The following is a 26,459-nucleotide window of genomic DNA, read 5'->3' on the forward strand; positions in this document are numbered from 1 at the left end:
ATTAGTTCATCCGACTGCCAGGAATGAACAAGGACAGTTTAAATGCTAGAAGCAAGATGGAGTTGATTAGGTCTGATGTCTTTCACTGTCATAATTTCTTCAGTTGTAATTTTTGCAAAGGCAGTTTCAATAACATCAAGCAGAATAAAGAATCAGTGAAACAGAAGACTAGTCATTTGAAATTATGGAGTCAGAGGAGCAAAAGGGAAAAGGAATGAAGAGTGAAGACAGCCTAAGAGACTTATAGGATGCCATCAAGCAGACCAATGTATGTATTATGAAAGTGCCAGAAGAAGAGAAAAATAAAGGGGCAGAGAGCCAGTTAAAAAAATGACCAAAAACTTCTCAAATTTAAAGAAGGAAATGGACATACAAATCCAAGAGTCTCAAAGAACTCCAAGTTGGATAATTTGCAAAAGACCTACAATGAGACACATTACAATCAAACTGTCAAAAGTCAAAGACAAAGAGAGAATTTTGAAAGGAACAGGATCAAAGCAACTTTTCACATACAAGGGAGATGCCATATGGTTATCAGTGGAATTCTCAGCAAAAACTCTACAGGCCAGAAGAGAATGGGATGATATATTAAAAGGGCTGAAAGAAAAAAAAAAAACTGTCAACCAAGAACTGTATAGCCAGTAAAACTGTACTTCAAAAATGAAGGACAAACAAAGAGTTCCCCAGAGAATTAAAAGGTGAGGGAATTGATCACCACTAGACCTACCTTACAAAAAATGTTAAAGGGAGTCCTCCATGTGGAAATGAAAGGGCATTGGATAGAAATACAAAAGCATACAAAACATAAACTTCTTTGGTAAAGGTAAATATATGAGTGAACATAGAATCCTTTAATACTGTAATGGTGGTAAGTAAAACACTTTTTTTCTTTACTTTTTTCTTTTTCTTTTTTGAGACAAAGTCTTGCTCTGTTGCCCAGGCTGGAGTGCAGTGGTTTGATCACAGCTCACTGCAGCCTTGCAGGCCTGGGCTAAAGCAATCCTCCCACCTCAACCTCCCAAGTGGCTGGGACTACAGACATGCACCACCACACTCAGATAATATTTTTAAATTTTTAGCAGAGATAAGGTCTTGCTGGTCTCAAACTCCTAGGCTCAAGTGGTCCTCCCATTTTGGCCTCTCAAAGTGCTGGGACTACAGGTGTAAGACACCACACCCAGCCTGTAATTCACTTTTAATTGAAGCATAGAATTTAAAAAGTAAAAGCATAACATTACTGTATTAAATTATGTGAATAAACAATATAAAAATATATATTGTGTGACACTGATAACAAAGTGAGAAGGAAGTGTAAAGAAGTAGAGTTTTTGTATGTGATTAAAGTTAAGTTGTTGTCAATTTAAAATAGATTATTATAACTATGAGATGTTTTCATGTAATTCTACAGTAACCACAAAGAAAAGACCTACAGAAGATACACAAATAAACATGAGAAAGGAACCCAAGCATGCCCCTACCAAAAAAAGAAATCAGTGAAACATAAAGGGAGGCAGGAAGAGAGGAAAAGTGGAAAAAAATAGCTGCAAGACATACATAAAACAATAAACAAAATGACAATAGTAAGCCCCTCCCTATCAGTAACTACTTTAAATGCAAATAGGCTAATTTTCCAATCAAAAGACAGAGATTGGCCAAATGGATTTAAAAAAATCTAAATATATACTATATGCAAGAGACTTACATTAGATCTAAAGACACACAAAGGTTGAAAGTGAAAGGATGGAAAAAGATATTCAATGCAGTTGGTAACCAAAAGAGAACAACGATGGCCATACTTAGACAAAATAGAGTTTAAGTCAAATAATAGCACAAGAGACAAGGATATTACATAATAATAAAAGGGCCAATTGACCAAGAAGATATAGCAATTATAAATATATATGCAACTAACAGTACAGCATCTAAATATATGAAGCCAACATAGACAGAATTGAGGGGTAACATAGATAACAACATCATAATAACAGAAAACTTCAATATCCCACTTTCAATTATGGATACAATAACCAGACAGAAGATCAACTGGAAAACAGAGAACTTGAACAACACTGTAGACCAATTGGACCTATCTGACATATACAGAACACTTCACCCAATAATAGCAAAATACACTTTCTTCTCAAGTACATACCAAGACTTTTCCAGGATAAATGGCATGCTAGTCCACAAACAAGTTTTTAAAAATTTAAGAAAACTGAACTCATACCAAGTATCTTTTCTGACCACATTAAATGAAATTAGAAATTCATAGCAGAAGGAAAAAGGAAAAGTAATAAATATGTGGAAATTACAAAAATATACTCTGTTAACCAATTGGCCTGTATGGTTAATATTAATTGTCAATTTGATTGAGGGATGCTTAGATGCCTGATGAAGCACTGAGTGAGGGTATATCTGTGAGGGTGCTGCCACAGGAGAATGATGGATGAGTTAGTGGACTGAGAGAGAAAGACCCATCCTCACTGTGGGTAGGCATCATGCAATTGGTTGCAAGTGTGGCTAGAACAAAAAGGCAGAAGAATGGGAACATTCAGCTTGCTTGGATTTCTTTTTTATGCACTTTCTCTCTCTTCCAGAGCAGTATGCCTTTTTCTCCTCTTGCCCTTGCACATCAAACTCTAGGTTCTTTTGCCTTTGGACCCTGGAACTTGCATCAGCAGCCTTTTGGGAGCTCTCAGGCCTTTGGCCTCAGACTAGTGGCTGCACTGTCAGCTTCCCTGGTTTTGAGACTTTCAAATTTGGACTGAGCCATGTCACTGGCTTCCTTGGGAGCCATGCTTTAGGCTTCTCTCATTTTCCGGCTTATAGATGGCCTATTGTGGGACTTTGCCTTTGTAATTATGTGAGCCAATTCTCCTTAATAAATTATATTTCATATATATGTAAATATATTCTCTTTTATATGCATGTATCTATATCTATATCTATATCTATATCTATATCTATATCTATATCTATATCTATATCTATATCTCCTATTGGTTCTGACCCTCTGGAGAACTCTGATTAATACATAGTCAAAGAATAAGTCACAAGGAAAATTAGAAAATGTCTCGAGACAAATAAAAATGGAAACACAACATTCCAAAGCTTGTGGGATGCAGCAAAATGAATATGAAGAGGACAGTTTATATATCTAACTACCTACCTTAAAAAAGAAGAAAGATCTAAAATAAGCAACTTAGCTTTACACCTCAAGAAACTGGAAAAAGAAGAACTCAATCCAATGTTAGCAAAAGGAAGGAAATAATAAAGTCTAGAGCAGAAGGCCGGGTGCAATGGCTCACGACTGTAATCCCAGCACTTTGGGAGGCCGAGGCAGGCAGATCACCTGAGATCAGGAGTTTGAGACCAGCCTGAGCAACATGGAGAAACCTGTCACTACTAAAAAATACAAAATTAGCCAGGCATGGTGGTGCATGCCTGTAATCCCAGCTACTCTGGAGGCTGAGGCAGGAGAGTCACTTGAACCGGGAGGCAGAGGCTGCACTGAGCTGAGATCGTGCCACTGCACTCCAGCCTGGGCAATAAGAGCAAAACTCCATCTCAAAAAAAAAAAAAAAAAAAAGGCTAGAGAAAAAAAAAACCCAATGAAACTAGTAGTTGTTTCAAAGTTCAACAAAATTGACAAATAATCAGCTAGAATATTTAAGAAAAAAAATAAAGAAGACTCAACTTCTTTTAGGAACAAAAGAGAAGACATTGCAACAGATATTACAGAAATAAAAAGGATTCTAAGAGTCTACTATGAATGATTATATACTGACAAGTTGGATAACCTAGGAGAAATGAACAGATTCCTAGTAACATGCAAGTTACCAAGACTAAGTCACAAAATAAAAAATCTTAATAGACCTATAACTAGTAACTGAATCAGGAATCAAAAACCTCCCAGCAAACCAAATACCTGATAAGGGGTTAATATCTAAAATATATACAGAACAACAACTCAATAACAAAACAACATAATGAGAAACGGTCAGTTGACTTTGCTATGGTCCAAATGTTTATGTTCTCCCAATATTCATATGCTGGAGCCTAATATTCAATGTGATAATATTAAGAGGTGGGGCATTTTGGAGATGATTAGTTCATGAAGTCATAGCCCTCAGAAATGGGACTAGGGCCTTTATAAAAGAGGCTTAAGGGAGTTTACTTTCCCTTTTGAACATGTGAGGACAAAGAGAAGGTGCTATCTATAGTGAATATAGTGACCTCACCAGTCACTGAGTCTGTTGTAGCCTAAATCTTGGACTTCTCACATTCCAGAACGCAAGAAATAAATTTCTGTTGTTCATAAATTACCAGCCTAAGGTATTTTGTTATAGCAGCAGGAATGGACTAAGATAGACTTGAACAGACATTTTTTCCAAAAAAAAATACAAATGGCCAACTAGCATATCAACCCGACACTATGTGGCAGCTGCCAAGGCTTGGGGATTGAACTCTCTGAAGCAATAGCCTGAGCTGTATGTTGGCTCCTTTTAGCCATGGCTGGGACATAGTGCAGTCCCAAGACTGCACAGAGCAGCAAAGCTCTGGGCCTGGCCCACAAAACCATTTTTTCCCTCCTAGGCCTCCAACCCTGTGACGGGAGGGGCTGTTGTGAAGAACTCTGACATACCCTGGAGACAATTTCCCCATTATCTTGGCAATTAACATTCGGCTCCTTGTTACTTCTGCAAATTTCTGCAGTCAGCTTGAATTTCTCCCCAGAAAATGGGCTTTTCTTTTCTATCACATCATAAGGCTGCAAATCTTCCAAACTTTTATGCTCTGTCTCCCTTTTAAACATAAGTTCCAATTCCAAACCATATTTTTGTGAATGCATAAAACTGAACACTTTTAAGAGCACTCAGGTCATAAACTGAACACTCTGCTGCTTAGAAATTTCTTCTACCAGATGTCCTGGGTGGGTTCCAAGATGGCCAAATAGGAACAGTTCCGGTCTGCAGCTCCCAGCATGATCGACGCAGAAGACAGGTGATTTCTGCACTTCCAACTGAGGTACCTGGTTCATCTCATTGGGACTGGTTGGAGAGTGGGTGCAGGCCCACAGAGGGTGAGCTGAAGCAGGGTGGGGCATCACCTCACCCGGGAAGCACAAGGGGTTGGGGGATTTCCCTTTCCTAGCCAAGGGAAGCCGTGACAGACTACCTGGAAAAACAGGGCACTCCTGCCCAAATACTGCACTTTTCCCAAGGTCTTAGCAACTAGCAGACAAGATGATTCTCTCCCGTGCCTGGCTCAGCGGGTCCCACACCCATGGAGCCTTGCTCACTACTAGCGCAACAGTCTGAGATCCATCTGCGAGGTGGCAGCCTGGCTGGGGGAGGGCCGTCCACCATTGCTGAGGCTTAAGTAGGTAAACAAAGCGGCTGGGAAGCTTGAACTGGGTGGAGCCCACTGCAGCTCAACAAGGCCTATTGCCTCTAGACTCCACCTCTGTGGGCAGGGATAGCTGAACAAAAGGCAGCAACTTCTGCAAACTTAAACGTCCCTGTCTGACAGCTCTGAAGAGAGCAGTGGTTTTCCCAGCATGGCGTTTGAGTTCTGAGAATGGACAGACTGCCTCATCAAGTGGGTCCCTGACCCCTGTGTAGCCTAACTGGGACACACCTGCCAGTAGGGGCTGACAGACACCTCATTTAGGCGGATGCCCCTCTTGGACGAAGCTTCCAGAGGAAGGATCGGGCAGCAATATTTGCTGTTCTGCAGCCTCCACTGGTGATACTCAGGCAAACAGGGTCTGGAGTGGAACTCCAGCAAACTCCAACAGACTTGCAGCTGAGGGTCCTGACTGTTAGAAGGAAAACTAACAAACAGAAAGGAATAGCATCAACATTAACCAAAAGATCATCTACACCAAAACCCCATCTGTAGGTCAACAATGTCAAAGAACAAAGGTAGATAAAACCAAAAGGATAGGGATAAACCAGAGCAGAAAAGCTGAAAATTCTAAAAATCAGAGCACCTCTTCTCCTCCAAAGGATCGCAGCTCCTTGTCAGCAATGGAACAAAGCTGGATGGAGAATGACTTTGACGAGTTGACAGAAGTAGGCTTCAGAAGGTTGGTAATAACAAACTTCTCCGAGCTAAAGGAGGATGTTGGAACCCATCGCAAGGAAGGTAAAAACCTTGAAAAAAGATTAGATGAATGGCTTACAAGAATAAACAGTGTAGAGAAGACCTTAAGTGACCTGATGGAGCTGAAAACCTTGGCACGAGAACTTTGTGACACATGCACAAGCTTCAATAGCCGATTCAATCAAGTGGAAGAAAGGGTATCAGTGATTGAAGATCAAATAAATGAAATAAAGTGAGAAGACAAGGTTAGAGAAACAAGAGTAAAAAGAAATGAAGAAAGCCTCCAAGAAATATGGGACTATGTGAAAAGACCAAATCTACATTTGATTGGTGTACCTGAAAGTGATGAGGAGAATGGAACCAAGTTGGAAAACACTCTTCAGGATATTATCCAGGAGAACTTCCCCAACCTAGCAAGGCAGGCCAACATTCAAATTCAGGAAATACAGAGAACACCACAAAAATACTCCTTGAGAAGAGCAATTCCAAGAAACATACTTATCAGATTCACCAAGGTTGAAATGAAGGAAAAAGTGTTAAGGGCACCCAGAGAGAAAGGTCAGGTTAGCCAGAAAGGGAAGCCCATCAGACTAACAGTGGATCTCTCAGCAGAAACCCTGCAAGCCAGAAGTAAGTAGGGGCCAATATTCAACACTCTTAAAGAAAAGAATTTTCAACTCAGAATTTCATATCCAGCCAAACTAAGCTTCATAAGTGAAGGAGAAATAAAATCCTTTACAGACAAGCAAATGCTGAGAGATTTTGTCACCACCAGGCCTGCCTTACAAGAGCTCCTGAAGGAAGCACTAAACATGGAAAGAAACACCCGGTACCAGCCAGGGCAAAAACAGGCCAAACTGTAAAGACCATCAATGCTAGGAAGAAACTGCATCAATTAACGGGCAAATAACCAGCAACTATCATAATAACAGGATCAAATTCACACATAACAATATTAACCATAAACGTAAATGGGCTAAATGCCCCAATTAAAAGACACAGACTGGCAAACTGGATAAAGAGTCAAGACCCATCAGTGTGCTGTATTCAGGAGACCCATCTAACGTGCAGAGACACACATAGGCTCAAAATAAAGGGATGGAGGAAGATCTACCAAACAAATGGAAAGCAAAAAATAGCAGGGGTTGCAATCCTAGTCTCTGATAAAACAGACTTTAAACCAACAAAGATCAAAAGAGACAAAGAAGGCCATTACATAATGGTAAAGGGATCAATTCAACAAGAAGAGCTAACTATCCTAAATATATATGCACCCAATACAAGAGCACCCAGATTCATAAAGCAGGTCCTTAGAGACTTACAAAGAGACTTAGACTCCCACACAATAATAATGGGAGAATTTCACACCCCACTGTCAATATTAGAAAGATCAAGAAGACAGAAGGTTAACAAAGATATCCAGGACCTGAACTCAGCTCTGCAACAAACAGACCTAATAGATATCTACAGAACTCTCCACCCCAAATCAACAGAGTATACATTCTTCTCAGCACCACATCACACTTATTCTAAAATTGACCACATAATTGGAAGTAAAGCACTAGTCAGCAAATGTAAAAGAACAGAAATCACAACAAACTGTCTCTCAGACCACAGTGCAATCAAATTAGAACTTAGGATTAAGAAGCTCCCTCAAAACTGAACAACTACATGGAACTGAACAATTTGCTCCTGAATGACTACTGGGTAAATAACAAAATGAAGGCAGAAATAAAGATGTTCTTTGAAACCAATGAGAACAAAGGCACAATGTACCAGAATCTCTGGGACACATTTAAAGCAGTGTGTAGAGGGAAATTTATAGCACTAAATGCCCAGAAGAGAAAGCAGGAAAGATCTAAAATTGACACCTTAACATCACAATTAAAAGAACTAGAGAAGCAAGAGCAAACACATTCAAAAGCCAGCAGAAGGCAAAAAATAAGATCAGAGCAGAGCTGAAGGAGATACAGACACAAAAAACCCTTCAAAAAGTCAATGAATCCAGGAGCTGGTTTTTTGAAAAGATCAACAAAATTGACAGACTGCTAGCAAGCCTAATAAAGAAGAAAAGAGAGAGGAATCAAATAGATGCAATAAAAATGATAAAGGGGATATCACCACTGAGCCCATGGAAATACAAACTACCATCAGAGAATACTATAAACACCTCTATGCAAATAAACTACAACATCTAGAAGAAATGGATAAATTCTGGGACACATACACCCTTCCAAGACTAAACCAGGAAGAAGTTGAATCTCTGAATAGACCAATAACAGGCTCTGAAATTGAGGCAATAATTAATAGCCTACCAACCAAAAAAAAAGTCCAGGACCAGATGGATTCACAGCTGAATTCTACCAGAGGCACAAAGAGGAGCTGGTACCATTCTTTCTGAAACTATTCCAATCAATAGAAAAAGAGAGAATCCTCCCTAATTCATTTTATGAGGCCAACATCATCCTGATACCAAAGCCTGGCAGGGACACAACAACAACAAAAAAGGGAATTTTAGACCAATATCCCTATGAACATTGATACAAAAATCCTCAATAAGATACTGACAAACTGAATCCAGCAGCACATCAAAAAGCTTATCCACCACGATCAAGTTGGCTTCATCCCTGGGATGCAAGGCTGGTTCAACATACACAAATCAATAAATGTAATCCATCATATAAGCAGAACCAAAGACAAAAACCACATGATTATCTTAATAGATGCAGAAAAGGCCTTTGACAAAATTCAACAGCCCTTCATGCTAAGAACTCTCAATAAACTAGGTATTGATGGGACGTATCTTAAAATAATAAGAGCTATTTATGACAAACCCACAGCCAATATCATACTGAATGGACAATAACTGGAAGCATTCCCTTTGAAAACTGGCACAATACAAGGATGCTCTCTCTCATCACTCCTATTCAACATAGTCTTGGAAGTTCTGGCCAGGGCAATCAGGGAAGAGAATGAAATAAAGGGTATTCAATTAGGAAAAGAGGAAGTCAAATTGTCCCTGTTTGCAGATGACATTATTGTATATTTAGAAAACCCCATCATCTCAGCCCAAAATCTCCTTAAGCTAAGCAACTTCAGCAAAGTCTCAGGATACAAAATCAACGTGTAAAAATCACAAGCATTCTTATACACCAATAACAAACAGAGAGCCAAATCATGAGTGAACTCCCATTCACAATTGCTTCAAAGAGAATAAAATACCTAGGAATCCAACTTACAAGGGAAATGAAGGACCTCTTCAAGGAGAACTACAAACCACTTCTCAACGAAATAAAAGAGGACACAAACAAATGGAAGAACATTCCATGCTCATGGATAGGAAGAATCAATATTGTGAAAATGGCCATATTGCCAAAGGTAATTTATAGATTCAATGCCATCCCCATCAAGCTACCAATGACTTTCTTCACAGAATTGGAAAAAACTACTTTCAAGTTCATATGGAACCAAAAAAGAACCTGCATTGCCAAGACAGTCTTAAGCCAAAAGAACAAAGCTGGAGGCATCACACTACCTGACTTCAAACTACACTACAAGGCTACAGTAACCAAAACAGCATGGTACTGGTGCCAAAGCAGAGATATAGACCAATGGAACAGAATAGAGCCCTCAGAAATAATACGACACATCTACAACCATCTGATCTTTGACAAACCTGACATAAACGAGAAATGGGGAAAGGATTCCCTATTTAATAAATGGTGCTGGGAAAACGGGCTAGCAATACGTAGAAAACTGAAACTGGATCCCTTCCTTACACTTTATATAAAAATTAATTCAAGATGGATTAAAGACTTACATGTTAGACCTAAAACCATAAAAACCCTAGAAGAATACCTAGGCAATACCATTCAGGCCATAGGCATGGGCAAAGAATTAATGACTAAAACACCAATAGCAATGGCAACAAAAGCCAAAATTGACAAATGGGATCTAATTAAACTAGAGAGCTTCTGCACAGCAAAAGAAACTACCATCAGAGTGAACAGACAACCTACAGAATGGGAGAAAATTTTTACAATCTACCCATCTGACAAAGGGCTAATATCCAGAATCTACAAATAACTTAAACAAATTTATATGAAAAAATCAAACCCCATCAAAAAGTAGGCAAAGGATATGAACAGACACTTCTCAAAAGAAGACATCTATGCAGCCAACAGACACATGAAAAAATGCTCATCATCACTGGCCATCAGAGAAATGCAAATCAAAACCACAATGAGATACCATCTCACACCAATTAGAATGGTGATCATTAAAAAGTCAGGAAACAACAGGTGCTGGAGAGGTTATGGAGAAATAGGAATGCTTTTACACTGTTGGTGGGAGTGTAAACTAGTTCAATCATTGTAGAAGACAGTGTGGCGATTCCTCAAGGATCTAGAACTAGAAATACCATTTCACCCAGCCATCCCATTACTGGTCATATACCCAAAGGATTATGAATCATGCTGCTATAAAGACACATGCACACGTATGTTTATTGTGGCACTATTCACAATAGTAAAGACTTGGAACCAACCCAAATGCCCATCAATGATAGACTGGATTAAGAAAATGTGGCACATATACACCATGGAATACTATGCAGCCATAAAAAGGATGAGTTCCTGTCCTTTATAAGGACATGGATGAAGCTAGAAACCATCATTCTGAGAAAACTATCACAAGGACAGAAAACCAAACACCGCATGTTCTCACTCATAGGTGGGAATTGAACAATGAGAACACTTGGACACAGGGTGGGGAACATCACACACTGGGGCCTGTCATGGAGTGTGGGGAGGGAGGGGATAGCATTAGGAGATATATCTAATGTAAATGACGAGTTAATGGGTGCAGCACACCAATATGGCACATGTATGCATATGTAACAAACCTGCATGTTGTGCACATGTACCCTAGAACTTAAAGTATAATAACAAAAAAAACTATGACACTGTCCTATATACCATATCTGTACAAAAATTATAAATTTTAGATAGCCATCCAGAGATACTTCTCTACTTCTTGGAAAAAATATCAACATTGAAAACATCAAAAAAATTAAACACTTCTTCTTTTGTCCAAAAAAAAAAAGAAAGAAAAAAGGGAATCCTCCCTAACTCATTTTATGAGGCCAGCATCATCCTGGTACCAAAGCCTGGCAGAGACACAACAAAAAAAGAGAATTTTAGACCAATATCCCTGATGAACATCGATGCAAAAATCCTCAATAAAATACTGGCAAACCGAATCCAGCAGCACATCAAAAAGCTTATCCACCACGATCAAGTCGGCTTCATCTCTGGGATGCAAGGCTGGTTCAACATATGTAACTCAATAAACATAATCCATTACATAAACAGAACCAAAGACAAAAACCACATGATTATCTCAATAGATGCAGAAAAGGCCTTTGACAAAATTCAACACTCCTTCATGCTAAAAACTCTCAATAAACTAGGTATTGATGGGACGTATCTCAAAATAATAAGAGCTATTTATGACAAACCCACAGCCAATATCATACTGAATGGGCAAAAACTGGAAGCATTCCTTTTGAAAACCGGCACAAGACAAGGATGCCCTCTCTCACCACTCCTATTCAACATGGTGTTGGAAGTTCTGACCAGTGCAATCAGGCAGGAGAAAGAAATAAATGGTATTCAGTTAGGAAAAGAGGAAGTCAAATTGTCCCTGTTTGCAGATGACATGATTGTATATTTAGAAAACCCCATCATCTCAGCCCAAAATCTCCTTAAGCTGATAAGCAACTTCAGCAAAGTCTCAGGATACAAAATCAATGTGCAAAAATCACAAGCATTCCTATACACCATTAATAGACAAACAGAGAGCCAAATCATGAGTGAACTCCCATTCACAATTGCTACAAAGAGAATAAAATACCTAGGAATCCAACTTACAAGGGTTGTGAAGGACCTCTTCAAGGAGAACTACAAACCACTGCTCAACGAAATAAAAGAGGACACAAACAAATTGAAGAATATTCCATGCTCATGGATAGGAAGAATCAATATCATGGAAATGGCCATACTGCCCGAAGTAATTTATAGATTCAATACTATCCCCATCAAGCTACTAATGACTTTCTTCACAGAATTGGAAAAAAAACTGCTTTAAAGTTCATATGGAACCAAAAAAGAGCCTGCATTGCCAAGACAATCCTAAGCAAAAAGAACAAAGCTGGAGGCATCACACTACCTGACTTCAAACTGTACTACAAGGCTGCACTAACCAAAACAGCATGGTACTGGTACCAAAACAGATATATAGACCAATGGAACAGAACAGAGGCCTCAGAAATAAGACCACACATCTACAGCCATCTGATCTTTGACAAAACTGAGAAAAACAAGAAATGGGGAAAGGATTGCCTATTTAATAAATGATGCTGGGAAAACTGGCTAGCCATATGTAGAAAGCTGAAACTGGATCCCTTCCTTATACCTTATACAAAAATTAATTCAAGATGGATTAAAGACTTAAATGTTAGACCTAAAACCATAAAAACCCTAGAAGAAAACCTAGGCAATACCATTCAGGCCATAGGCATGGGCGAGGTCTTCATGACTAAAACACCAATAGTAATGGCAACAGAAGCCAAAATTGAGAAATGGAATCTAACTAAACTAAAGAGCTTCTGCATAGCAAAAGAAACTGCCATCAGAGTGAACCAGGCAACCTACAGAATGGGAGACAAATTGCGATCTACCCATTTGACAAAGAAAGAATTCAAACAAATTTACAAGAAAAAAACAATACCATCAAAAAGTGGGCAAAGATATGAATAGACACTTCTCCAAAGTAGACATCTATGCAGCTAACAGACACATGAAAAAATGCTCATCATCACTGGTCATCAGAGAAATGCAAATCAAAACCACAATGAGATATCATCTCATGCCAGTTAGAATGGCAATCATTAAAAAGTCAGGAAACAACAGATGCTGGAGAGCATATGGAGAAATAGGAACACTTTTACACTGTTGATGGGAGTGTAAATTAGTTCAACCATTGTGGAAGACATTGTGGCGATTCCTCGAGGATATAGAACTAGAATTACCATTTGACCCGGCAATCCCATTACTGGGTATATACCCAAAGGATTTTAAATCATGCTACTATAAAGACACATGCACATGTATGTTTATTTCGGCACTATTCACAATAGCAAAGACTTGTAACCAACCCAAATGTCCATCAATGATGGACTGGATTAAGACACGTGACACATATACACCATGGAATACTAATGCAATCATAAAAAAGGATGAGTTCATGTCCTTTGCAGGGAGATAGATGAAGCTGGAAACCATCACTCTCAGCAAAACTATCACAAGGACAGAAAACCAAACACCGCATGTTCTCACTCATAGGTGGGAATTGAACAATGAGATCACTTGGACACAGGGCTGGGAACATCACACACTGGGGCCTGTCGGGGGGTGGAGGGCTGGGGGAGGGAGAGCATTAGGAGAAATACCTAATGTAAATGATGAGTTGATGGGTGCAGCAAACCAACACGGCACATGTATACCTATGTATCAAACCTGCATGTTGTGCACCTGTACCCTAGAACTTAAGGTATAACAACACCAACAAAAAAAGAAGTTTCTTCTACCAGATGTCCTCAATCATCTCTCTCAGTTTCAAAGTTCCATAAATCTCTAGGGCAGGGGCAAAATGCCACCAGCCTCTTTGCTAAAGCATAGCAAGAGTGACCTTTACTTCAGTTCCCAACAAGTTCTTTATCTCCATCTCAGACCTCCTCAGCCTGGACTTCACTGTCCAAGTCACTATCAGCAGTTCGGTCAAAGCCATTCAACAAGTCTCTAGGCAGTTCCAAACTTTCCCACATCTTCTGGTCTTCTTCTGAGTCCTCCCAACTGTTCCACCCTCTGCACATTACACAGCTCCAAAGTCACTTCCACATTCTCAGGTATTTTATAGCATTACTCCATTACCTTGGTATCAAAATCTGTATTAGTCATGGTTCTCTAGAGGGATAGAACTAATAGGATATATGTATGTATGAAAGGGAGTTTATTAAGGAGAATTGAATCACACCATCACAAAGTGAAGTCCCACAACACGTCTGCAAGTTGAGGGGCAAGGAATCTAGTATTGGCTCAGTCCGAGTCCCAAAACCTCAAAAGTAGGGAAACTGACAGGCCAGCTTTGAGTCTCTGGATGAAGGCCTGAGAGTCCCTGGAAAACAACTGGAGTAAGTCCAAGAGTCCAAAAGCCAAAGAACCTGGAGTCTGATATTTGAGTGCAGGAAGCATCCAGCATGGGAGAAAGATGAGGGCCAGAAAGCTCAGCAAGTCAGCTTCTCCTAAACTTCTTCTGCCTGCTTTATTCTAGCCATGCTGGCAGCTGATTTTATGGTGCCGACCCACACTGAGGGTGGATCTGCCTCTCCCAGTCCACTAAATAAATGTTAATCTCCTTTGGCAACACCCTCACAGACACAACCGGGAACAATACTTTGGATCCTTCAATCCAATCAAGTTGACACTTACTTAATATTAATCTTCACAATGTAATATTCATCCCATTTGTAATTTTTCTTTAATATACAAGCTCCTTGAGAACATGCACCATTTGATCTTGTCTCTCTGTTTTCTTGGGAGGCAGTGGAGAAGAGAAGAGTTAAATGTGTGGGTGTGGAGTCAGACTGCCAGATTTGCATCTTGGCTCCCCTACTTACTGGATCTCTGACCTTGAGTAAATTACTTAACATCTTTCTCAGTTTCCTTACCTGTAAATGAGTGGTGACATATATGGAACTTAGAACAAGAGCCAAGCAAGTATTCAATAAAAGCTAATGTTGTTGCCTACTGTTTATTCTCAGTGTTTGGCATAGTAGCCGGCAAAAGGAAGAGGAATTTTTTTTTTCTTTTTTTCAGACAGTCTCCCCCTGTCACCCAGGCTGGAGTGCAGTGGTGTGATCTTGGCTCACTGCAACCTCTGCCTCTTGGGTTCAAGCAATTCTTGTGCCTCAGCCCCCTGAGTAGCTGGGATTACAGGCCTGTGCCACCACACCCAGCTAACTTTTTGTATTTTTAGTAGAGATGGAGCTTTGCTATGTTGGCCAGGCTGGTCTTGAACTCATGTCCTCAAGTGATCCACCCACTTTGGCCTCCCAAAGTGTTGGGATTATAGGCGTGAGCCATTGGGCCCGGCCTGGAAATATTTTTTTGAAACATGACTGATAACAGTATTTTTTGAAAGAATGACAGATACCAATCATGAAGGAAAAGATTTTCACAATTGACAATAAAAAACTTTAACTTCTGAATGGTAAAAAGAGTGAGAAAATTAAAAGCCAAATTACAAATTGAAAAAACTAAAGTATATAAAACAAAGGTTTTCATTCTCAATTTAATGCAGAATCTTGACAAATCAAAAAGAACAAAAGGTGAACCCACCTAAAAGAAATAGGCAAAAGACTTCCAAGAAAAGCAATTTACAAAATGCCAATGACTAATAAACATGGATATTTAACAGCACTAGTATTCAAAATACTTCATTTATAGAGATCCCTCCTTCACCTATCAAATTAGCAAAGATGAAAAAGGCTAGTATTACCAAGTTTTGAAGACAGGTGAGAGGAAATGACAAGTTTATGTACCCTGGTAGGACATGATATTGTGGCAATTTGTTTCAGAACACTCATAAATGTAGATATCTTTTAGATCAACAATTACACTTTTAAGCTTAAGAAAATATGAAGAATAGGTACAAATATTTCTCTATATGTTCAATTAAGTATTATTTTTTAAATTAAAAAAAAATTTTTTTTGAGACAGTGTCTCACTCTGTTGCCCAGGCTGGATAGCTCACTACGGCCTCCGCCTCCTGGGTTCAAGTGATTCTTCTGCTTCAGCCTCCTGAGTAGCTGGGATTACAGATGCCCACCACCATGCCTGGCTAAGTTTTGTATTTTTAGTAGAGACAGGGTTTCACCATGTTGGTTGGCCAGGCTGGTCTTGAACTCCTGATCTCAAGTGATCCACCCTTCTTGGCCTCCCAAAGTGCTGGGATTACAGGCATGAGCCACCATGCCTGGCCAATTTTTTAATTAAAAAAAATTTTTATAGCAGCACAACTAAGTATTATTTTAATAGTAAATATTGGAGTCAAGTTTAATTTTGAACAGGATAAGTAATTATGATGCAGCACATTGAATACTCTTTCATTAAGCTAAACAACTATTAAAATGATATACAAATACATTTACTGAAAAGAAACATGTTTGTGATATACAGTTAAGTGTAAAACAATTCAGGTTATAAGAACATATTAGGCCAGGTGCGATGTCTCACGCCTGTAATCCCAGCACTTTGGGAGGCCGAGGCGGGCGGATCATGAGGTCAGGAGATTGAGACCATCCTGGCTAACATGGTGAAACCCTGTCTCTACTAAAAATATAAAAAAAATTAGCCGGGCGTGGTGGTGGGTGCTTATAGTCCCAACTACTTGGGAGGCTGAGGCAGGAGAATGGCGTGAACCCGGGAGGCAGAGCATGCAGTGAGCCGAGATTGTGCCACTGCACTCCAACCTGGGTGACAGAGCAAGACTCCGCCTCAAAAAAAAAAAAAAGAACATATTGGTCAATATTCACTGATTTTTATAAGAATATTTGACAGAGAGAGAGGGGGAAGGGAAGGGAAGGGGAAAGGAAAGGGAAAGGAAGAAGGGAAGAAGGGAAGGGAAGGGAATATGGGTGGATTTATATCAAAAGGTTCAGAAGGAAATGATTCTTTTCTTCTGGATGTGACTACTGCAGATTTTTTTAACTTTTCCTCTTTTTCTTATTTATTTATATTTTCTGATTTTAAGAGAAACTATAAAACTATATATATTACTTTTCAACTTAAAAATATTTTAGTGCTTCAATAATGCAGAAGACTCAATTTCAACATTGCAGATAATTAAAGCATTACTAAATGTGGAAATGTTTACTTTCACAATTTCTGTAGTGATATTCAAGACCAGATATCACCTTGGAATCAGAACTGGTGCAGGATCTTGTCCTAACACTACCATTAAGGCATATGGCTGACCCAGCTCTGTATGTTTAGGTTGTCTTATAATAGAGCAACCAGTTGTTTATTAGGATGGCCAAAAAGGCACATTTCAAAAATGCCTATTAAAATATTAGTAGTACAAATAATACCGCTGAATTTTTTCTAATGAGAACTGATAAAATTCCAAAGCAATATAAGCAGATACATAGTAATAATATGGTTTATCAAATTAATTGTCACATGATTATTAAAATGAGATCATGTGTGTTAAGTAGTGGTATCTTAAGCCACTGAAATATCTTCCTTGGTCTAGAATGAGCTTTCTATGGAGATTAAAAAGATGTTAAATTGAACAGTCTTGGTTAATAAATGAAGAAGCAAAGCCAGAAACCCTGTTTAAAGAAGTAACAAAAAAGGTCATGAATGATCTAGTGGTTGTTATATTTTCTTGTTTACCTGAGGAAAAGACTATGCTCAAGCATGTATTGAATCCAGTGATAGCCAGAATGTCATCCATACTGCTAGCAGCCATTAATAAGGTTGGAATGCCTTCCTCAACACCATATCCATTTTCTTGCAGCACCATCATGTAAGGGACAACAACAGCAGGAGAGACAGCACCTAGAACAAAACTGAAAGAAAGAATGAAAATTAATTTAAAAGCATCTTTTAAATCAAGTAGTGTTTTATAAGTACAAGTAGTTTATAATAACTTTATAACAAACATTGTTTAGAAGAATTTCAAATTTGAGTGAATGCAATTTAATGGTGATAAAACTTTTCATGCATTGTTTAGTGCTGGCTAAAATTTTATACAGATGTGGTTTAAAATGTTGGGCTGAACACAGGTTGCAGCCTCTCCCTCTATTCCTAAATCCTTTGAAGTGAAGATGTAAAAGTAATAGAAAAATTCATAACCTAACCAGAAAGCAAAAGGTGAATCCGCAATGGACAAGAAACTAAGTATATCCCAGTAAGATAAGAGACAGACAATTTAGGATTGAAAAAAGGAAACCATAAACCAAAATCTGTGTAAATAAGATTGCCTCAAAAGATACATGTGCTTCTAAAAGTGCTCCAAGCCCTGAAATGGCAGATGCTGGGAGCAGGAGAGACCTCTGGGGAAACCAAATAGTTAATTATTTGGAGTACCACTGTAAGAATGGTCAGACAAATCTATCTTCCACACATTTCCTACCTCTTGAGTAAATAAGTAAGTAAGGAAGGAAGGAACAGAGTTGTCTGCCCAAAAAAACAAGTGTGGCCACCTAAGTTACAAAGGCAAATGAGAACATTTCTGGAGTGGTTGATGACACCCATGAGGAATGGGGAGGCTCCTGCTCCGAATACCTTCTATTGACATATCTTATCCAGAATTTCGCCTCATCTCTTCTACATTTACTTTATAAAGGCTGAAGTATATCCTGTGTAGAAATGCTTTTGGTGCTCCTGCCAGAATTGACCTGGTAAATGAACACATCTCCCAGTGCTGCTTGTTGGCTGCTAATATCTGCAGATTTCTAGAACCCTTGTCCTGCTGACAAGCACCTACCTGGGAATACTAGGGAGGTTGTGCACCCCTCTACTTTCCCTCCAGACAGCATCTGCCAATGACTGACTGATGTGAGTGTCTAATAGTTTAGCCCATTTGCTTCTGGCTGTACAACCTCTATGGTGCAGTTTATGCTACAGATTTCCCTGTGGGCTCAAGAAGAGACTAGACTTCTCTAAGACCACATACTGGTCTAGTTCAGTGGTTCCTAAACTCTGCTGCACATTGTAATCACCTGTTGTATTATTTTTCTCATTTTGCTTAACAAGTCATCCCCAAACATAGCAGCTTAAAACAACAAATATTTATTGTCTTATGACTTCTGTGGGTCAGGAATCTGGGCATGGCTTAGCTGTATGCCTTCACTTAAGATTTCCCATGAGGTAGGGTGGGGTGGGAGAAGATCTGCTTCCAAGTTTACTCATGTAGCTATTGCAGGCTTCAGTTTTTTCCAATGGGGTTTTCTCCACAGGGCTGCCTCAGGACATGGCAGCTGGCTTCCCCAGGAATAAGTGATCAAAGAGAATTTAATCCATAACATCAATTAAAAACACAAAATATCTAAGAAAAAAACTGTGAAGATAGTCTATACTTTTATAAAAATTGTGAATATAATAATATAATAATTAAGATAATACCTGAATACTTAGAGAGACATTTCACAAGTGTGAACTAAAAAGCCTCAATTTTACCATCGCCCAACACCACGTCTGGCTAGTTTTTGTGTTTTTAGTAGATACGGTGTTTCACCATTTTGGCCAGGCTGGTCTTGAACTCCTGACTTCAAGTGATATGCCCACCTTGGCCTCCCAAAGTGCTGGGATTATAGGTGTGAGCCACCATGCCCGGCCAAAGCCTCAATAATATAAAGATGTAATCTCTCCCCCAAATAAATTAATCAGAGATACACCAATCAAAATCTTTGCAGGGATTTTTACTGAGCTTGACAAGCTGATTATAAAATTCATTTGGAAGAATAAGATCTTAGAACAAAAGATCAAGTAAACTTAAGAAAACAAGATACTGTTTTTGTAAGGGTAAAATAGTTAAAACTGAATAATAGTGACATATAAATAGACAAAATAAATTGGAAGAAAAGAAAATACAATGTGTGGAAACAAATCTATGGGATTTGTTACATCATACAATTGGTATTTTAAATCAGTGGGAGAAAGAAAGAAATCTTTCATAAATGGTGTTGAGATAACTATTTATGTGGAAAGGAATATAGATAGATCCTTACACATAATAAATGTTAAAAGCTCAAAAGGAAAAGTAGTAATAAGAAAATGTAGGGGGCTAGGTGCGATGGCTCACACCTGTAATCCCAGCACTTTGGGAGGCTGAGGCGGACAGATCAGGAGTTTGAGACCAGCCTGGCCAACATTGTGAAACCAATAGCTGGGTGCAGTGGTGCATGCCTGTAGTCCCAGCTACTTGGAAGGTTGAGGCAGGAGAATCACTTGAACCCGGGAGGTGGAGGTTGCAGTGAGCTGAGATCACGCCACTGCACTACAGCCTGGGTGACAGGAAGACTCTGTCACAAAAAAAAAAAAAAAGAAAATGTAGAATAATATATTTGTGATCATGAGGTAAAAAGGACCTTTTGAATGATACATACAAAGGCATTAGACATAAAAAGAGATTTTGATACATTCAATTATATTAAAGTAGTACTTCAAAAGCAACTTCAAAAGTACTACAATAAAGTACTACTTCAAAAGCAATTCTGCTCTTTCTCCCCCTTTTTTTCTTTTTCATTTTCAAAGTCAAGTGAATGGTGTTGTGTATTGGCAATTCTGTCTGTTGAAAATAACAAAATACACTTCTTAGAGAGAAAAAAAATCATCACAAACAAAATTAAATATCTAGTGATATTTGCAATACATATAATTTACAAATACATATAACAGATATAATTAATAAAGAAGTTGAAGACTCAACAAAAAAATGGACAAAGGATATGAACAGGCTAGTTACAGATAAGGAAAAGTTGAAGGACAACACATATATAAAAGATATTCAAGTTTGTGAATAATCACAGAAATGCAAATTAAAACAACAAAAATATGCCATTTTTTCAATTATCAGATGTGAAAACATTATAAAATTTAATAATATCAAGGATTTGCAAGGATTTTCAAGAACAACAGGTATGCTCATAAGCTATTGGTATTAGGGCAAATTAAAGTGGCCATACCGAAGGGATTTTGGCAGTGTATATCAAACTAAAAATGCATATAACCCAGGTAACTATTCTAGACAAACTTATATTTAAGTAAAATGAGACAAATAAAATGCTATTTTTGTTATAACATTGTAAATAAAATCTGCTGTTGACATACAATGTAGTCTTATACAATTAAAAGGAATAAACTACGTGTGTATCCATCTTGAGATGGATAAACCTCAAGACTATTGTTAAGTGAAAAGAACAAATTGTAAAGTAAAATTTTCTTGGGTATGATTAAGTAAAAATGCACAAAATAATACTCTTTTTTTTCTCTGGGTTCACAAATACACTTGTTAGAAGTCCAGAACATTATTTTCAAAGATCTAGAATGGTAACATAAAACTCACGAAGATGCTGCCACTCTGTCCCCAGTGGCACATGAGTGCACCCCACAGCACCATTGCCCTGGCTGACCCATGCAAGTATGCAGAACAACCCCATCCCACACCTGCCGGCACTGCACCCCTGCCAACACAGGCATACCTGCTGTGTGCTGCTGCTGCTGGCACATATGTGTGAGTAGGGACCTTGCTACAATCACTACAATGAAGCACTCTGGCTGGCACACCCCATCAGAGTGTTGTTGCCAGTGGACTGGGAACACCTCAGTGCTTAACACTGAAGGGCCAGACAACAAATCTGTGGGTATGGTACCAGCCCTGCAAAGTTAGAGCATGCAGCTCAGGAGTGCTGAGCTGAGCCTTTGCCCCCTGAAATCTTCCAGAAATGAAGCCATTTGACTGAACCTACCTTGTGCCACAGTCAAACCCTCAAGGGCATTAAAGAATATAAAAAAGGAAAAAGCTCCATCCAAAGGACAGTGACTCAAAACATTAAAGGAACCTTAGCCCACACAGATGTGAAAGAACCAGTGCAAAAACTGGCAATGTAAAAAGCCAGAATGTCTTCCTGTCTTCAAGCAATCATACTAACTCTCTAACAATGGTTGTTAACCAGGATTAAATGACAGACATAGAATTCAGAATCTGGATAGAAACAAAGATCATTGAGATTCAGAAGAAAGTCAAAATCCAATCCAAATAATCTAAGGAATCCAATAAGATGACATAAGAGCTGAAAGATGAAATAGGCATTTTAAGAAAGAACCAAACTAAACTGATAGAGCTGAAAAATGCGCCTCAAGAATTTCATAATACAATAACAAGTACTAACAGCAGAACAGACCAAGCTGAGAAAAGAATCTTAGATCTCAAAGACCACTTCTTTGAATTAACTCAGTCAGATGAAAATAAAGAACAAGAAAGAATGAACAAAACCTCTGAGAAATCTGAGATTATGTAAAGAGACCAAACATATGACTCAAGGCATCACTCAAAGAAAGGGAGAAAGAATAAGCAAGTTGGAAAACATATTTGAGGATACTGCCCACAAAAATTTCCCAAATCTTGCTAGAGAAGTCACCATTTAAATCCAGGAAATGCAGAGAACCCCTGTGAGATACTACATAAGATGACCATCCCCAAGACATCCCCAAGTCATCAGATTCTCCAAGGTCAACATGAAAGAAAAAAACATGAAAGGCAGCTAAAGTGAAGGGGCAGGTCACCTACAAAGGGAATCCCATCAGGCTAACAGTGGAACTGTAAGATACTCTACAATCCAAAAGAAATTGGGGGCCTATATTCAGCATTCTTTCTTTTTGTTTTTGAGATGGAGTCTCACTCTGTTGCCCAGGCTAGAGTGGACTGGTGCTATCTTGGCTCACTGCAACCTCCACTTCCCGGGTTCAAGCGATTCTTCTGCCTCAGCCTCCCAAGTAGCTGGGACTACAGGTGCGCACCACAACACCTGGCAATTTTTTGTAATTTTAGTAGAGACGGGATTTCACCATATTGGCCAGGGTGGTCTCAAATTCCCAACCTCGTGATCTGCCCACCTCGGCCTCTCAAAGTGCTGGGATTACAGGTATGAGCCACCATGCCTGGCCTTCAGCATTCTTAAAAAAAAAAAAAAAAAAAAAAAAAAAAACTTGGCTGGGTGTGGTGGCTCATGCCTGTAATCCCAGCACTTTGGGAGGCTGAGGGGGGTGGATCACAAGGTCAAGAGATCAAGACCATCCTGGCCAACACGGTGAAACCCCATCTCTACTAAAAATACAAAAATTAGCTGGGCATGGTGATGCGTGTCTGTAGTCCCAGCTACTCGGGAGGCTGAGGCAGGAGAATCACTTAACCCAGGAGGTGGAGGTTGCAGTGAGCTGAGATAGCACCACTGCACTCCAGCCTGGCGACAGAGCAACACTCTGTCGCCAAAAAAAAAAAAAAAAAAAAAATTCAACCAAGAACTTAATATCCAGCCAAACTAAACTTCATATTGAAGGAGAAGTAAGATCCTTTTCAGACAAACAAATGCTAAGGGAATCTGTTACCACCAGACATGCCTTACAAGAGGTCCTTAAAGGAGTGCTAAGTGTGGAAGTGAAGGACTGTTAATGGCCACCACAAAAATACGTTTAAGTACATAGAACATTGACATTGTAAAGTAACTACACAATCAAGTCTGCATAATAACCAGCTAACAACATAATGACAGGACCAAAGCTATAAATATCAATATTAACTGTGAATGTAAACAGTATAAACGCCCCACTTAAAACTCACAGAATGGCAAGTTGGATAAAGAAGCAAAGCCCAACTGTATCTGCTGTCAAGAGACCCAGCTCATATGCAACGATACCCATTGGCTCAAAGTAAAAGGATGGAAAAAAATCTAGCAAGCAAATGCAAAACAAAAAAGGGTAAGCATTGTTATCCTAATTCAGACAAAATAGACTTTAAACCAACAACAATCAAAAAGACAAAGAAGGGCACTACGTAATGATAAAGGGTTCAATTCAACAAGAAGACTTAACTGTCTAAAAGATAAATGTGCTCAAAACTGGAGCATTCAGATTCATAAAACAAGTTCATAGAGACCTATAGAGAAACTTAGATAACCACAGAATAATAGTGGGAGACTTCAACATCTCACTGACAGTACTAGACAGATCAAAGAGACAGAAAATGAACAAAGATATTCAGGACTTGAAGTCAACACTTGGCTAAATGGACCTAACAGCCATCTACAGAACACTCCACCCAACAACAACAGAATATATGTTCCTCTCATCTGTACATGGCATATATTGTAAAATTGATCACACTATCAGTCTAAAATTATTTTCAATAAATTTAAGAAAACCCCTGAAATCAGGCCAACCACACTCTTGGACCCGCAGTGTAATAAAAATAGAAGTCAACACTAAGACGAACTCTCAAAACCATACAATTACATGGAAATTAAACAACCTGTGCCTGAATGACTTTTGGGTAAACAATGAAATTAAGGCAGAAACCAATAAATTCTTTATAACTAATTAAAACAAAGATACAACATTCTCGGCTCTCTAAGACACAGGCAAAGCAGTGTTAAGGGAAAAGTTTATAGTGCTAAATGCCCATATTGAAAAGTTAGAAGGATCTTAAATTAACAACCTAATATCATACCTAAAGGAAACAGAAAAACGAGAGGAAACCATCCCAAAGCTAGCAGAAGAAAAGAAATAACCAAAATCAGAGCAGAATGGAATGAAATTGAGTCATGAAAAGCCATACAAAAGATAAATGAAACTAAAAGCTGGTTCTTCGAGAGAATAAATAAATTGGATAGGTCACTAGCTAGACCAATAAGGAAAAAAAAAAAAGAGAGAGAGAAGATCCAAAAAACACAATCAGAAATGGCAAAGTGGACGTTACCGCCAACCACACAGAAATACAAAAAACTCTCAGAGACTACGATGAACATCTTCATGCAAACAAAGTAGAACACCTATGAGAAATTGGTAAATTTCTGGAAACATACAACTTCCCAAGATTGAACTAGGAAGAAACTGAAATCCTGAACAAATCAAAAATGAGTTCTGAAACTGAATGAGTAATAAAAAGTCTCTGAGCCAAAAAAAAAAAAAAAAAAAAAAGCAAGCCCAGGACCCAACAGATTCACAGACAAATTCTACCAGAAGTGTAAAGAAGAGCTGGTACCAATGCTACTGAAATTATTCCAAAAAAATGAGGAGGAAGGATCCCTCCCTAACTCATTTTATGAGGCCAGCATCATTCAGATATGAAAACCTGGCAGAGACACAACAAAAAAGAAAACTTCAGGACAGTTATCACTGATGATCATAGATGCAAAAATCCTCAACAAAATACAAGCCAACTGAATCCAGCAGCATATCAAAAAGCTAGTCCACTATGATTAAGTAAGCTTTATCCCTGGGATGCAAGTTTGGTTCAAGATATACAAACCAATAAATGTGATTCATCATATAATAGAACTAAAAATAAAAACATCCCTTCATGATATAGACCCTCAACAAATGAGTTACTGAAGGAGCATACCTCAAAATAATTGGAGCCATTTATGACAAAACCACAGCCAACTTCATACTGAATGGGAAAAAGCTGGAATACTCCCTTTGAGAACTGGAACAAGACAAGGATGCCCACTCTCACTACTCCTATTCAACATAGTAATGGATGTCCTAGCCAGTGCAATTAGGCAAGAGAAAGAAACACAGACATCTAAATAGGAAGAATGGAAGCCAAACTATGCCTCTTCATAGGTGAAACACTTTTATACCAAGAAAACCCCATAGTAGCCTCTCAAGAGCTCCCAGATCTGACAAATGACTTCAGCAAAGTTTCAGGTTACAAAACTCAATGTACAAAAATCTGTAGCATTTCTATACACCAACAACATCCAAGCTGAAAGCCAAATCAAGAATGCAATCCCATTCACAATAGCCACAAAAAAACTATAAAATACCTTGGAATACAGCTAAGCAGGGAGGTGAAATATCTCTACAATGAAAATTACAAACGAGTGCTCAAAGAATCAGAGACAACAGAAACAAAAGGAAAACATTCCATGATCACAGATAGGAAGAAGCAATATTGTTAAAATGGCCATACTGCCTAAGGCTATTTACAGAGTCAATGCTATTCCTATCATACTATCAATGACATTTTTCACAGGATTAAAAAAAGCATCCTAAAATTCATTTGGAGCCAAAAAAACAAACAAACAAAAAAAGCCCAAATAGCCAAAGCAATCCTAAGCAAAAAGAACAAAGCCAAAAGCATCACACTACCTGACTTCGAACGGTAGTACAATGCTACAGTAAGCAAAACAGCATGGTTATGCTCAGCAAAAGAAATAATCAGCAGAGTAAAAAGACAACCTATAGAGTGGGAGAAAATCTTTACAAACTATGCATCCAACAAAGTACTAATATCCAGAATCTATAAGGAACTCAAAAACAGACATAGACCAGTGGAACAGGTTACAGAACGCAGAAATAAAGCCGCACACCTATAGCCATCTACTCTTCAACAAACTTGACAAAAACAAGCAATGGGGAAAGGAATCCCTACTCGGAAATTGTGCTGGGATAACTGGCTAGCCATATGCAGAAAACTGAAACTGGACTCCATACGTTTCACCG

The 26,459-nt window shown here is 38.7% G+C and overlaps 1 protein-coding gene across 4 annotated transcripts in view, besides 1 other annotated feature; it reads right to left on the bottom strand.

The window, feature by feature from the left end:
* Window positions 1-26,459, bottom strand: part of SLC9B1 (solute carrier family 9 member B1) — a 134,657-nt gene that overhangs the window by 29,451 nt on the left and 78,747 nt on the right. For all 4 annotated transcript variants that reach the window (NR_047515.2, NR_047513.2, NM_001100874.3 and 1 more), the window contains one exon: window positions 17,625-17,800. Coding sequence is in view for 2 of the 4 variants with exons in the window: in NM_001100874.3 (NP_001094344.2) it covers window positions 17,625-17,800 (176 nt within the window). In the remaining 2 variants the exon portion in view is untranslated. The remainder of the gene's footprint in view (window positions 1-17,624; window positions 17,801-26,459) is intronic.
* Window positions 23,444-24,093: an enhancer, noted in NCBI's record as "OCT4-NANOG hESC enhancer chr4:103859100-103859749 (GRCh37/hg19 assembly coordinates)". NCBI's record gives its function as "activates a minimal SCP1, AML or CMV promoter by ChIP-STARR-seq in naive and primed H9 embryonic stem cells {active_cell/tissue: H9 hESC(naive and primed)}" and the evidence as "EXISTENCE:reporter gene assay evidence [ECO:0000049][PMID:30033119]".

The sequence above is a fragment of the Homo sapiens genome, chromosome 4 (genome assembly GCF_000001405.40).
Source record: "Homo sapiens chromosome 4, GRCh38.p14 Primary Assembly".
NCBI classification, from domain to species: domain Eukaryota; kingdom Metazoa; phylum Chordata; class Mammalia; order Primates; family Hominidae; genus Homo; species Homo sapiens.